At 45.3% G+C, this 13,521-nt stretch overlaps 1 protein-coding gene across 6 annotated transcripts in view, besides 4 other annotated features; it reads left to right on the top strand.

The window, feature by feature from the left end:
• LHFPL2 (LHFPL tetraspan subfamily member 2) overlaps positions 1-13,521 on the top strand; it is a 163,543-nt gene that overhangs the window by 134,802 nt on the left and 15,220 nt on the right. For all 6 annotated transcript variants that reach the window (XR_007058567.1, XM_006714515.3, NM_005779.3 and 3 more), the window contains one exon: positions 3,573-4,187. Coding sequence is in view for 5 of the 6 variants with exons in the window: in XM_006714515.3 (XP_006714578.1) it covers positions 3,758-4,187 (430 nt within the window). In the remaining variant the exon portion in view is untranslated. The remainder of the gene's footprint in view (positions 1-3,572; positions 4,188-13,521) is intronic.
• Positions 3,232-3,853: an enhancer, noted in NCBI's record as "H3K27ac-H3K4me1 hESC enhancer chr5:77805941-77806562 (GRCh37/hg19 assembly coordinates)". NCBI's record gives its function as "activates a minimal SCP1, AML or CMV promoter by ChIP-STARR-seq in naive H9 embryonic stem cells {active_cell/tissue: H9 hESC(naive)}" and the evidence as "EXISTENCE:reporter gene assay evidence [ECO:0000049][PMID:30033119]".
• Positions 3,570-3,619: a silencer, noted in NCBI's record as "silent region_16122". NCBI's record gives its function as "represses an Ori minimal core promoter by ATAC-STARR-seq in GM12878 lymphoblastoid cells {active_cell/tissue: GM12878}" and the evidence as "EXISTENCE:reporter gene assay evidence [ECO:0000049][PMID:35858748]".
• Positions 3,900-3,989: a silencer, noted in NCBI's record as "silent region_16121". NCBI's record gives its function as "represses an Ori minimal core promoter by ATAC-STARR-seq in GM12878 lymphoblastoid cells {active_cell/tissue: GM12878}" and the evidence as "EXISTENCE:reporter gene assay evidence [ECO:0000049][PMID:35858748]".
• Positions 8,593-9,101: an enhancer, noted in NCBI's record as "H3K27ac-H3K4me1 hESC enhancer chr5:77800693-77801201 (GRCh37/hg19 assembly coordinates)". NCBI's record gives its function as "activates a minimal SCP1, AML or CMV promoter by ChIP-STARR-seq in naive H9 embryonic stem cells {active_cell/tissue: H9 hESC(naive)}" and the evidence as "EXISTENCE:reporter gene assay evidence [ECO:0000049][PMID:30033119]".

The raw sequence follows: 13,521 nt of genomic DNA, 5'->3' as shown, positions 1-13,521 counted from the left end.
CCCTGCTGCACTTCCAGATGGTCCCTTGTCCTGCCACCCTGAGAACTTTGCTTGCAGCCTCTGTTAGTCCGTTTTTACACTGCTGATAAAGACATACGTGAGACTGGGTAATTTATAAAGAAAAAGAGGTTTAATGAACTCACAGTTCTGCATGACTGGGGAGGCCTCACAAACATGGCTGAAGGTGAAAGGCATGTCTTACATGGTGGCAGACAAGAGAGAATGAGAACTAAGTGAAAGAGGTTCCCCTTATAAAACCACCAGATCTTGTGAGACTTATTCACTACCATGAGAACAGTATGGGGGATCCGCCCCCATGATTCAATTATCTTCCACCGGGCCCTTCCCATAACACGTGAGAATTATGGGAGCTACAATTCAAGATGAGATTTGGGTGCGGACACAGCTAAACCATATCACCACCCCCAGGAAGCCTCGATTTTAGTCAGCCTTGCGTATCACCACTGTTCCTCTGATAGTAGCAGTTAGCAAACTTACTAGGGAGAACAGAGCATCTTATCCCCCTATTGAAAACAGAAGAATGAAGCCCTTATCCCAGCCAATCTTGTATGGGTGTGAGAATTTGGTGCAGTGAATGAGGAAATGTTTTAGCATAAAGGAGAGGGAACTATATTATTTTTACTTAAGCATGTGGGTCCTTAAGTAATCCTGCCTTCAAATTGTTCTCAGGCATTTTGCTAAGCCCAGATGTCCCATCTTCTCCTGTCCTGAACTTTTACAGCCTTTTTCTTCAGAAGCTGCAAACTAATTGCATTCCTTACTCTGAGTAGAGCTTGCTGGCCAGGGCAGTGGACACTCGAGTAGTCATTAAGATACAAGTCACCCGAGAGGTTGTAGGAGCCCTGCAGTTCTGCAAGAGGACAAATATGAATGTTCTCATTGAAAAATTACATTCAGGCAGGGGTGGTTGCACACGCCTATAATCCTAGCACTTTGGGAGGCCAAGGTGGGTGATCACCTGAGGTCATGAGTTTGAGACCAGCCTGGCCAACATGCTGAAACCCCATCTCTACTAAAAATACAAAAATTTAGCCAGGCATGGTCGTGTGTGCTTGTAATCCCAGCTGCTCTGGATGCTGAGGCAGGAGAGGGGAGGCAGAGAGGTTGCAGTGAGCCGAGATCATGCCACTGCACTCCAGCCTGGGTGACACAGTGAGACCCCATCTAAAAAAAAAAAAAAAAGAAAAGAAAAATTACATTTAACAGAGAAAAGGGATGGGAAAGAGATTGTGCATAACAGTAAAATGGTTTTCTAATCAAATGGGAAGGCTTTATAGCTCTCAACAGGCTGGGCTTGCCACCTGTGGGCCCAAAGTATTTGTGAGCCTGATGGGTACGTGCAGGCTCTCAGGGCCTCCTGGGAGTCCTTGTGGCTCATTTTCTTGTTCTCTTTTAGAATGATCATTTTCATTACAAACAATCTCCTCTAAAGCCCTTAGTAACTTTTTTCTCAAAAGGCTTTCTGTTTGGTACTATCTGGAGGAGGGAGCTGAGAATGAGTGAGTCGGAGTAGGATATACCTTCTGGCTGAATGCTAATTTATCTCCACCAGTTGGATATAAATTATCCAGCTTGTGGAGATAAATTAGCATTCAGCCAGAAGGTATATCCAATATAAAAACACCAGCTGAGTTAGGTAGTGGGGAAACAGGAAGACCAGGACTCTGCCCTTGAAGGCTGCAAGGTAAGTTTAGACATGAATGACTTCGTCCATCTCTAAGTAGCCTGTGCTTAATGTTTTCTGTGTGCAGTGGCCAGGTTTCTGTAATCTGCTGGGCACCTCAGTTGGATCAATAGTTGTCTGAACGGTGTCATCTATGTTACAGGAAAAGCTTCGGAGGGCAGGGAGTTGATATTTGTTGAGCACTTACTCTGCCAGGCACTGTGCTGGGTGCTTCAGTAGGTTCTTGTTCATTCCTTGCAACAATCTGGTGAGGTAGGCTACCCTTACCGGCTCAGACGAGGGAGCTCTGAGAAGTTAGGCATCCATATGGTCAGTGCTGGAGCTGGCTTTGGAACCCATACCTGATGGACTCCCTTCCCTTACCCAGTGCTTGGCACAGCGCTGTGACACACGCACACACACCCTGACAATTAAGTGCATATGTTCCTAGTAGTGCACTAGCTGTGTCCCCAAAATAGCATCTTGTATAGCAACTACCATGATATGAGGATTTTAAAATACATCATGTTTCAAGGGATGGGTAGAGTCACATGCTCACTAGGAAGTCAGCCAGCAGGCAGACAGCTGGTGCAGGGTGTAGAAACGGGCATTTTAAGCTTTGACACTGGGCTTCCTTATTTCTCCGCTTCTCTTCCTCTTCGATAACTCCCTGCCTCACCCCACTCCCAACATGCCAGGGGGCTCTTTGCAGTTCTCATGGAGTTGATTTGACCTCGGTTAATGAGATCTAATCATTCAGAGCAGGGCCATGTGCCCAGATGTGAGCTATGTGATTGTTCCTGGCCTTGGAATGGGGCAGAAAATGGGGCTGCAAACCAGCCCTGCTGGCCCCCATTTCAGGGTCCAGACTCCTCTGAAGAAGGCTTGAGCCACTGGAGCAATGTCTTCTGGTAATGAAGTCATTCCTCCGTGGAGACAGAATGAGGCCTCTGTGAAATGAGAAACAATGGGCATGTTGAGTTCCCGACCTGGGGTGAATCGAAGCTTAGGCAGAGGCACATGGGATGAATTGGGACAATTCAAGGGATGCATTCTTCATAGACAAGGTTCTGTTGTCAACAAGTCCACTCAGTTGTAATGATGCTTAGTTAACGGTCATTAATGTCTTTTAAAAATAATTTCCCCAAGTAAGTCATGAACTCTTAAGGTTTTTTTTTTTTCCCCTCTGAGTTTTAATTAGTGTAAATTATTTTGTCTAAAAATCACCCTGTGAAAAATGGATAAAGTATAGGTATGGGAGCAATGTTTTGTTTATTCTTTTACATGTGATTCTTTCCTATTTACCTATGAAGCAAACACACTTATGTCTCTGCTAGTAATTTAATTTCGAGGAAATAAAAGCGGGGTGTTGCTACTCTCTACTGTTAAGCAAAAGCGCTTGGTCCAAGTTTCTCAAAACTTAGCTCACCTAGTACCAAAACAGCAGGCAAAAAGTCTTGCAAACTTAAAAACAAAACAAAACATCCACTAATAGAGTTGATTGCCAGTCTTGCCTCCTCCTCTCTGGATCCCTGTGCTGTTTGACTTTTTCCAGTAAAAGATGAGGGAGCGGGAGCCCTGTCCTAAAAGTGCAGCAGCAACCAGGACAGTGCCCCCTGGGTTGGGAGCAGGACCTGGCACTGGCCGCCTCCTTCCATGGTGCTCCCTAGAGATAAGGTTAACTGCCACATAGAGTTCTAAGTGCAGTGAGGTCAGGAAGAACTTGAAACAAACGCAGCCAGTGCAACAACCGCCTGGCATGCTAGCCAGGCCCGGGGCTTGCTGGCAGGGTTCTGCGGGCACGGGCCGGACTTGGACGGTGTCGCTGCGCGGCGGGAAGGCGGGGCGGGGCCTGGCGGCGCTGCTAACCGCCCTCCCTCTCCCCTAGGTGAGGCCGCAGGCGGTGCTCTGGGTCCGGGAGCGCTGTCCCCAGCATGAACGCGGCCGGCGGCGGGAGTGAATGACTGCAGCTGCGACTTCCTTCCCGGGCCGCCCGAGCCTCCTTCCCCACCGACTTTCTTGTTTTGATTAACTCCGTGGACTCCTGACTCTTTCTTCGCCCGGAACATCAATATGTGTCATGTCATTGTCACCTGTCGCTCGATGCTCTGGACCTTGCTGAGTATTGTGGTGGCTTTTGCCGAGCTCATTGCCTTCATGAGTGCAGACTGGCTGATCGGGAAAGCGAGGAGCCGCGGCGGCGTGGAGCCGGCGGGCCCGGGCGGGGGCTCCCCGGAGCCCTACCACCCCACCCTGGGCATCTACGCCCGCTGCATCCGGAACCCAGGGGTGCAGCACTTCCAGCGGGACACGCTGTGCGGGCCCTACGCCGAGAGCTTCGGCGAGATCGCCAGCGGCTTCTGGCAGGCCACAGCTATTTTCCTGGCTGTGGGAATCTTTATTCTCTGCATGGTGGCCTTGGTGTCCGTCTTCACCATGTGTGTACAGAGCATCATGAAGAAAAGCATCTTCAATGTCTGTGGGCTGTTGCAAGGAATTGCAGGTAAGAAGGCAGGACCCCGGGCACGGTGGGATGGAGGGATGGAGAGCTGCCGGTGCAGCGCACTCTGGTACTGGGCATTCGCTTCCTGCTAGTTTTGGAGAAGACCACTTTCTGTCTATTCAGGTTTCCTTTGCCCCTTCCGTTCTAGGCGACGTTTGTGTGCTGCTCGCATGGGTCTCTTTCCCCTGTCTTACCCCACAGGAAGACAGGCTTGTTCTCTGGTCTTACGTGGTCCTCCTCATTGCTTATTTCCTCGGGGTCTAAGCTGTTGGTTTTAGTTTGAGTAACTACTCCTGCTTTTTGTTTTTCCCATTAAATTAAAAGCATGCTCTCCACTTCAGTGCAACTCCCTGAGGAATTATGGAGAGCGTGAGTCCCACCTGCAGCAAGCACTTTATGCTAAGAGGAATGTAAGCGGGGGCGCTCATTAAGAAGCAGCAAGCCTGCTTTCCGCATCCACTCTCAGCTCCAGCCCCCAGATGATTTCAGCTTGGGTGGGAAAGACACGGGCTGGGAAGGAATTAGTATCAGCTGCTCTGTGTTTAGTGATGTTCTGGTTTAAATTGTCTGTCTCCTAGAGCCTGACAGAATGTTCTGTGCATTCAGATCAGAAAATGCAAGCGAACTCTTCCATTTTCTGGGAATTTCTCACTAACGAGCTTATTAGAAATGGGTGGAAAGTAAAAGCATGAGCTCTTTACAGTGGTCCCAGGGAGAAGGTTGTGAGCTGCAGGAAAGCATCCACTGCTACCAGTATTTTCGTAGGCTTCCCCGCATGGGTTTGAAAGGTGAGTCCTGAACCAATGGGGTAACAATCTGTCTAGGTTTGATTCAAGGTTCTTGTTCTGGGTGACAGAAATTCACACACAAAAACACATGGCTGAGTTTGAATACATCCCCAAAGAAGTAGAGTAGACTCTTGCTTTGATATTCAGAAAACAAGTGCTTACTTTTTAACCAAGACATTAATCTAGACTCTAACAGGACAAAGTTACCCACCTACAACACTAAATGAAGGGCACAGGTGATTCATCCCTCAGCAAATTCTAGAGCTGTGTGCACAGGATTCTTCAAAATAAAGCTATGCATTGAGCCATATGTCCAGGGCTGTAAAGCAGCAGCCCCCAAACGAATTCACTCTAGCTGGCCTCATAGCAAACTCTTGAGCTCAGCAGGGCTGGCTTCCAAATAAACAGATCAAATGACAGTTTTTTCCCAAACAGCCGATAAGATAAAGTTTACTGTTCCTCAGATCTTAGGAGGCCCCTGTGTAGGGTGGAGGTGGGGGATGGGGAGTAATGGGCCAAGAGAAATGACAGAGGGCCTGCTCCTTAGTTCTGATTTGCTTTCATGGGGGAATACACCATCCAGACACCAGGCCCTTTAAACTTTCTGGCCCAAAGGGACAAGTCTCAGGTCCCTCATCTCTACATCTGCCAGGATCAGCCACACCACAAGTGACTCAGGCACTCATGGAATTTGGGAGACCAGGATTCTGTATTTCAGCATTGCTCCTCATTAGCAGTTTCACTTGAGATAAATGTACCACCCCGGGTCTCAGTGTTCTCCTTCTGAAAAATAGGGAGATTGGAAAATGTGACCTTCCTTTGGACTTTTTAGGCTTAGAGTTTGATTCTGTGAAGCTCCTTGTCCCCTTTTGACTCACTTCTGAAGATGACTCTCCCCTTCAGCTTGGCATCTCACCACCCAGAAATATTAAAGGTGGGTTTCAAGATTGATTCATCATTTTCTTGTCAGAGAAATATCCCTGCTTTATTCTCCTTGGACACACGGTGCCTCAGGGGCATGTGTGTGTGTGTGTGTGTGTGTGTGTGTGTGTGTATGCATGTGTATATCTTAAAACTTTTGCAGGGAAGTATTACTGAAGGCTTTTGAAGAGTCAAACATGTAGCTCAAGGGAAGCCAGCACACACTAATTATTAATCCTGTTGAAGAGCCCTGGTTGACCAGAGAGTAGGATTTCTGTTTAGTTTTCCCTCGCTCTGTTGTATTTGCACATCCTTGATGATTTCATGCCTTTATTATGGGCTTTATTGATTTGCTGGTATGTAGATGAGACTCCTGGTTTGTCATGTAGGAGTGCTTCTTATCCTGAGGAACTTGATGGTGATCTAACTACCTTCGAGCAAACCAGTGGCCATTTACTGGAAGGGGTGGGACATCTTGGGCCATAACACTAAACCTATCTTTGGCAGTCATTCAGAAGCAAAGCATAGGTATCCTTCAAGACTGTTTACATGCAGTTTATAATAAGGCGTTAGTTGAGTGAATTCCATGTCTGAGTGTGGATTAGTCCAACATATTTTGGTACTCTGGTGTGCATCACATTAATGGCAAGGTGTTCATTATTGCACAAAGATTAGTATGGCTCTCAGGTATTATTTGAACACTCCAGTGAGTTTTCTTTTTCTTTTTCTTTTCTTTTTTTTTTTTAAGACAGATTCTCATTCTGTTGCCCAGCTTGGAATGCAATGGCAGGAACTTGGCTCACTGCAACCTCCACCTCCCAGTTTCAAGCGATTCTCCTGCCTCAGCCTCCCAAGTACCTGGGATGACAGGCACCTGCCACCATGCCTGGCTAATTTTTGTATTTTTAGTATTGACAGAATTTCATCATGTTGGCCAGGCTGGTCTCAAACTCCTGACCTCAAGTGATCACCTGCCTCCGCCTCCCAAAGTGCTGGGATTACAGGTGTGAGCCACTGATCCTGGCCTCCAGTGAGTTTTTTCTGACTTTTCTCTCTGCACAAGGTCTCTTGGAGGAAGGTTGAGGAGAAAGAAGTGGGAGCACTGCTGAGGGCTGGTGCTGATCTTCTGCCTCTTTCCAGTCTGGAAGCTTTAACTTCCTCCCTACCCCTGTTACTTATGCAGCATCTCAAAAATTCTGAAATTACTCAGAATTTTAAATTGGCACAAGGCAGAGATTCCTGCATAGTTTGACTGCTGTCTAGGAGCCACTGATCTAAGACTAAGTGCTGAAATACAGGAAAGAACTGGTTTCTTTTCTCCTTCCAGCCTAGCATCACCCCTCAGAGAAAAAATCATAAAAAAGAGGGACTGAGCTATCCTTCTCATGATTCAGTGGGCACTTTCTCCCCTATTGGAGGTCTCATCATGCACATCAAGCCAATGTAAAGGGCAGCTGTGGTTCTTGAATCTGTGGCTGAGGACATTGCCATACTGGCATCTGAAAGGGCTGGCTTGCTTTCTCCCGTTGGCCAATCTGTGATAGCCTCTGGTCAGCCCCAGCCTCAGCAAGGACTTGCTGCAGCTGGGAGCATCTGCCTTTTCTCTCCCTATGCCCCCTCTCCCTCAGCCCTGGATCTCTTCAACACTGAAACAAATGGTGAGAAAGGAGGCTGTTGCCAGAGCAACAAAAGGATTCTTTAGAAATACACTCAGGCTGTGTTTGTTCTTACAACTTACATTTTGGCAAAAATGTGACTGGATGAGAAATGATCGTAAGCATATTCTTTTGCTACACCTAATTTTAAGATATAAATAGGCCACAGGCTTGTGTAGCCTTCACTGTCTATAAAAAAACACAGCATAAATAATCAAAATCTTGATATTCTGAGTTTAGAAACTGGGTGTGAAAGAATCTGCTACTTCAATGGAAATCCCAAACTCTGGGCTAACTTAAGCAGTAATGAAATATAATCATTGCCTGTTATGTGAATCCAGATAGCAGGATCTGCCTTCAGGGCACCATTAGGTGGACACCCGGCTGATACTTTCTAAATACTGTGCACATGTCCTTGACATTCAGCACTCACTCAGTAATGAGGGTTCAGGCCTCACCTGAATGTGCCTGTGAAACACGGACCAATTTGCCTCACTTTTCTGAACCATAGTTTTCTCACTTGTAAAATGGGCATAACAATAGGTTTATACCTCAGGACTGTTCTGAGGATTAAGTTAGATAATATATGAGAAAGGCTTAAGCATAGTGCTTAACACACAGTAAATAATAAATGGTAGCTATAGAATCATTATCAAAGTATTTCTGCTTTCTTGGCAAGTTTTAGTATATTATTTGTTTCCCGGATTTGTTGCATTCTACGGAACAGGGATATCTTGTAGCTTTTAGAATTGACCTTACTCTGTTCCAATCAAACACAAATACAGTGTGTAGGGGCCTTCCCTGTCCTTAAGAGCCTGCCTGTGTTGGAGCTCAGGGTGCACAGCAGTCCTGTGGCTTTGGTGTAACCAGGGGTGTCCTCAGATCATTTTTTTAAAAGGCAGGAGAGAGCAGTCAAATTGACAAGAAAACAGAGCTCCTTCCTCCCCCTCCCCTTCCCCTGACACACACATTTTCCATTCCTTCTCTTTCTGGAGGCAGCTTCTAGCCGTTGAGTGTTGATTGCAGGTGGCTTCTGAGATTCTCCTGGCGGAGTAAATCACAGGTTGATTAGTCTTCATGAGGTGAGAACTTGTCCAAGGACTTGGCAGAGGCAGCAACACACATCAGTTTGCATCCCTCTGGGATTCATTACAAAAGCCGGGTGATCAGCCAGCAGGGTTGGCTTTTTGCCAGCTGTCTTCCTTAGGTTGTGACCTGGATGTAATCCATCGTGAAACCATAGAATGCAAAGATCCAGGTTTTCCATGACAACATCAAGCAGTTTGTTTTTGGAAATGCGTGTAGGGCTCTCTTAGAAGTCCATGGAATCCCCAGTGACTCAGGTTTGGGACCGAAGCCATTAAACTGAGCTCAGGATTTGGCTCACTTGTGCTGGCTGGGCCTATTCCACAGGGACTGCCATAAGCATGAGCCACCGGCCAGCTGCCTGCTATCTTCCAGTCTTCCCTTTATGCTGGGCTGGCTCTCACACTCTACTCCCTCCAGCCCTCTGCCTGCATGGGTCTCAGTCCAGCAGGACAGCCTTAGCAAGCTGCCCCACCAGTCTGACCAGATAGATTGCCCTGGGGCTGAACCCTGCCTCTGCAGGGCTGGGGTGAAGGGTGTGTGGTCGTGGGAATGGCGCTGGCAGTGGCGGTGAAGGGCCTGGTGTATGCAGGCTCAGCCTTCTTGGAAGTGAGCAATGATTGAGGGTGAAAGAGGACAACATGAAAAAAAGCAATAAAAGGAAAAGCAGAGACAGACACGTGGGGGTTTTGCCTTTGCTGCTTATATAATTGCTTTTGTCATAAATCTGATGCATGGAAGTATGGGTGGGCATACGAAATGCAGCTGATCACTCTCCAGGATTTGGTATTCTTACTGCTTTTTACACAGGGTAAAAAATCACCTTAAGCATCAAGGTTATGACCATAGCCCAACCCCATGACTGATCTCATGCCCTACTCATTCACTCTCAGGCCCAAAAGACAAGGTCAGCCACTGAGAGGAGAGAAATCAGAACAGGGGCTTGGGAAGCATAGGGAGATGGACGGAGATGCCTGGCACACATGGAGCCCTGCCTCAGAATTTTTCTCCTGAAAAAGTCACCGGGCTTTCTCTGGGGTGGTGTGACCTTGGTTGCCCACCTTCAGAACACCCTCAAAGAGGCATGGGGAGAGTAGAGGGAACAGCCCTTCCTTTTGTTCCTGGTGAGCACAAGGCCCTGAGGACTTCTGGCTGCCAAAGGGAGGCTCTTGGTTTCTGGCTGTCCAGACAGATGATGCTCCACCAGAAGTCAGGTCCAACAGTTCCGTGTCTGAATCAGTTTTAAAATACCACTGATAGGACACATTTCCTAATTCATCAGCCTTTAGTAGTCCCTTGGTAAAAAGTAAAAAAAATGCAGACATGTTATGAGAAGGTAGGTCAGAATTCAATTTCAGTCCTAGGCACTTGTATTGGATGCCTACTATGTGCAGAGACCTGTAGACGCAGGTCTACAACTTGCTGAGTTCTGCTTCCAGGCTGTATTAGAGAGTCATCATTTCACAAACTGTACCATAGAGAAGCAAAAGAAATATAAAATAAATAATATATAAAGGGAATGAAGAATTCAACCATATCATAAATAAAAAAATGACTGCTGAAAAGCAAGTGGACCAAGCAGGTATTAATTTAGTATCTCTAGAGATGGGGACCTGTGTTTGTTTGTTTGTTTTTGAGATGGAGTTTCGCTCTTATTGCCCAGGCTGGAGTGCAATGGCTCGATTTTGGCTCACTGCAACCTCTGCCTCCCAGGTTCAAGTGATTCTCTTGTCTCAGCCTCCTGAGTAGCTGGGATTACAGGCACCTGCCACTATGCCTGGCTAATTTTTGGTATTTTTAGTAGAGACGGGGTTTCACCACGTTGGCCAGGCTGGTCTCGTACTCCTGACCTCAGGTGATCCACCTGCCTCGGCCTCCCAGAGTGCTGGGATTACAGGCAGAGCCACCGCACCTGGCCAAGACGGGGACCTGTTTTTAAAGAATGAGTTGGAAAGTCTGGAAGGAAATGGCAAACTCTCTTAAAATTCTGATATAGCAGTTGATATGCAAATAAAATGCAAAAGTGGTTTGCCATGGCAACTACTTAATTGTCGACATAAATTATCACAGAGCCATGGATGATCTATATTCAAATTACATTAACAAATAATCATTTAAGCATGGCCCTGAATATTTACATGAGCAGTTCTGGCACTCTGTTGTAGGGGCTTAATGCAAAGGTGGTATTCTTTTAAGCTATAAAGCCACTTCAAAAATAATCTGCATCTTCTATGAAGAACTGTCCTACAGCGCGGTCAGCCACATTTATGAGCTCATTTATGTAGATGGTCTTCCCAGTAGCTTTATTAAATGGCCAGCAACTTTTTTCTTTTAAAGACAGCCACCATTACATATTAAATCTAAAACTACACATGCGGAGAAAATGAAGCCAATATTAAAATGCTTTAAGAATCAGTACAAATACGTGTCCACAACTCTTAAGTAATTTCAACTCAAAATGCAGAGTGGCTGTGTGTTCAGAGTGACAGAGGCCACGTTCAGGGACGTAGTGTTGAAAAGACAGCACCTGGTTTGCTGTAGTAGGAATTATTTAACATTATCTGCACCCAAAGACCTCAGCAGGCAAGAAATTTACTTGTCCTAGAAATTCCATAGCTTTAGTAACTATGTTTTTTAAAAGTGCCTTTTACCTTGTTACACATTACATTTTGCAGTTTATTTTGGTAACTTACTTTGAATTATCAATGTATTTTGGTTATAGTCGAGCAGGAGCTCTGTCTTTCGTGATCCTGCCTGTCTGATGAATAACTTATGGAGAACGTATTTCATAAAGTTCTTTCAGTTGCATGTAAGCCAGTTAACAAACAGCTTCTCACCCCGAATGTGAAGTAAGGCTTCATCACTAACTGATGGGAAGGAATCATCTGGCTAGGTTAGTCTGTTGAGATGTATTTCAACGTTCTAGAGTTAAGGCTTTAAAAACTGCTAGCAGAAGTAATTTGCTTTTAAACAGGAATTACTGCTGAGAAAGAGGGAGGCTTCAACAATGGAGAAACTGCATCTTTCTTCTAGATTGTTTCTCCACATATCCTAAGGGCATCAGACAATTTTTAACTGATGGCCATTAATTTCAAGTAATTATAACAGAAACTTCCTTTGGGGACCTTGGTTGTAAGATCTTTTTATGACAACTATGCTCTGATTGTCTTCTAAAGAATGCTATTTATGTTCATCTGTCATCTTGTCTCCACCCTGGAGAGTGTTTTTCTTGCCAACTATAATATCATGGGAGTATTTTTAGTAGAAAATGGATATCTTACTAGATTTCTCTGGGGAAACAGCAAAAGCATTAATGCAAGCTTCTTTTTTTTTTAATTGACACTTGAAAATAACCAGTTCCTTCCCTTTTTCTCTTGCTTGTCTCTGAAATCTTACTGGTTAAAGCTTCTAAAATTATTGATCATGTACTAAAATAACATGTAGATACCTGCTCTCAAAGATGCTGTAGTCATTCACAAAAACTCTTTTATTGCCAGGAAACCCTTTGACTTCTAGTTCCTGATCTGGCCCCTGGAGCTAAATGAGTTACTAAATGTCGACGTTAAGCCTGGTTTAGCTTGTCCACGAACTCTTGAAACTTTAAAATGAGATGGAGTAAGCCATGTAGGCTCATGCCTGTGGTCCCAGCTACACGGGCAGGAGGATCACTTGAGTTTGGGACTGTAGTGCAATATGATCACGTCTGTGAATAGCAACTGCATGCTAGCCTCGACAACACAGTGAGACCTCATCTCTTCTAACTTAAGTTTGGACCTAGACTCCAAAGAGACTCAGAGCCTCCTTACCATGTATCTTGATACTTGCACAGTAAATAAATAGGCTTCTTAGAAAGGGGTCCGCATCTTAACGCAGGTACCCTCTACACTCCCCCATCTCTTACCCCGCAGAAGGGCCCTCAGCCAGAAGTTGCTTCCTTTGAACGAGTGCTGGTCCACTCTGTGCTAAGGCTTCTCCCATTTCACGGCAAAATCAAGGAAGTTTAGTAAGTGTGGTAACATTTCATCAAGCCGATGTATTCACTTCAAAGAAATGTCATTTATTTTCCAATTACATCCTTCACCCTTCTTGTATTAAAATATTCTTTTATGAAATGATGAGAGGAGATAATAAAGGCTATTTTCAGTGTCTTTATTAGCAAAATAAAAAATGTTGCCCTCCCAACAATCTTTCTGGACTGTAAAGTCCAGAAAGTGTAGGAACCACTGTTTTAGAATATAAGGAAGTCCCACAAGGGTGTGACGTGTCTTTTCAGTTATACCTCTAGTGTTCAGAATGGAACCCACTACGTACATAGTAGATGCTCAGTAAATGTATGTTCGCTGACAGGCACATATCTGTGGAACCACTGATTAGTCTCTTCTAGCCCCAGCTGTAAATTTATAGGTGTTGGAATTTAACGAATGCCATTAAGTCTCAATTCTGATATAGACCCGGCCCTCCTAGACAGTTATGGCATAAGTAACTGATGAGCCATCATCTGAAGAATCACTTCAGAACTGGTCATCACTGAAACCAAATTCTGCTTGGACTTTGAAAAAGTTTTCATTGGAGAACCTTAATGGGCAAAGGTATAGATTAACCAAAAGTGATCATTATTGGGCAAAAATTCTTGATTCATGTTATAACTCCTACTTTGTTATATTACTTTTATTTATTCAGACTCTGAGTGGCTAACTGAAGTTTTGGTACTGAAGATAGCAGCCCATCTGGCATCTGGGGAAGACAAGCAGGATTGAATACCTTTGCTAATTTCATTTGGGCTTGTAGGGTACAGAACCAGAACTCTTCCTGGGTGGAAGGAAGAGATCTTGCCTCCCCCCAACCCTCGGTGTTTACAGTTGTTCTAAGCAAGATTTCACGAGA

Source organism: Homo sapiens, chromosome 5, assembly GCF_000001405.40.
Source record: "Homo sapiens chromosome 5, GRCh38.p14 Primary Assembly".
Taxonomy (NCBI): Eukaryota; Metazoa; Chordata; class Mammalia; order Primates; family Hominidae; genus Homo; species Homo sapiens.
Note: the sequence above shows the minus strand (reverse complement) of the source record. Positions and strands in the feature narration are given on the sequence as shown.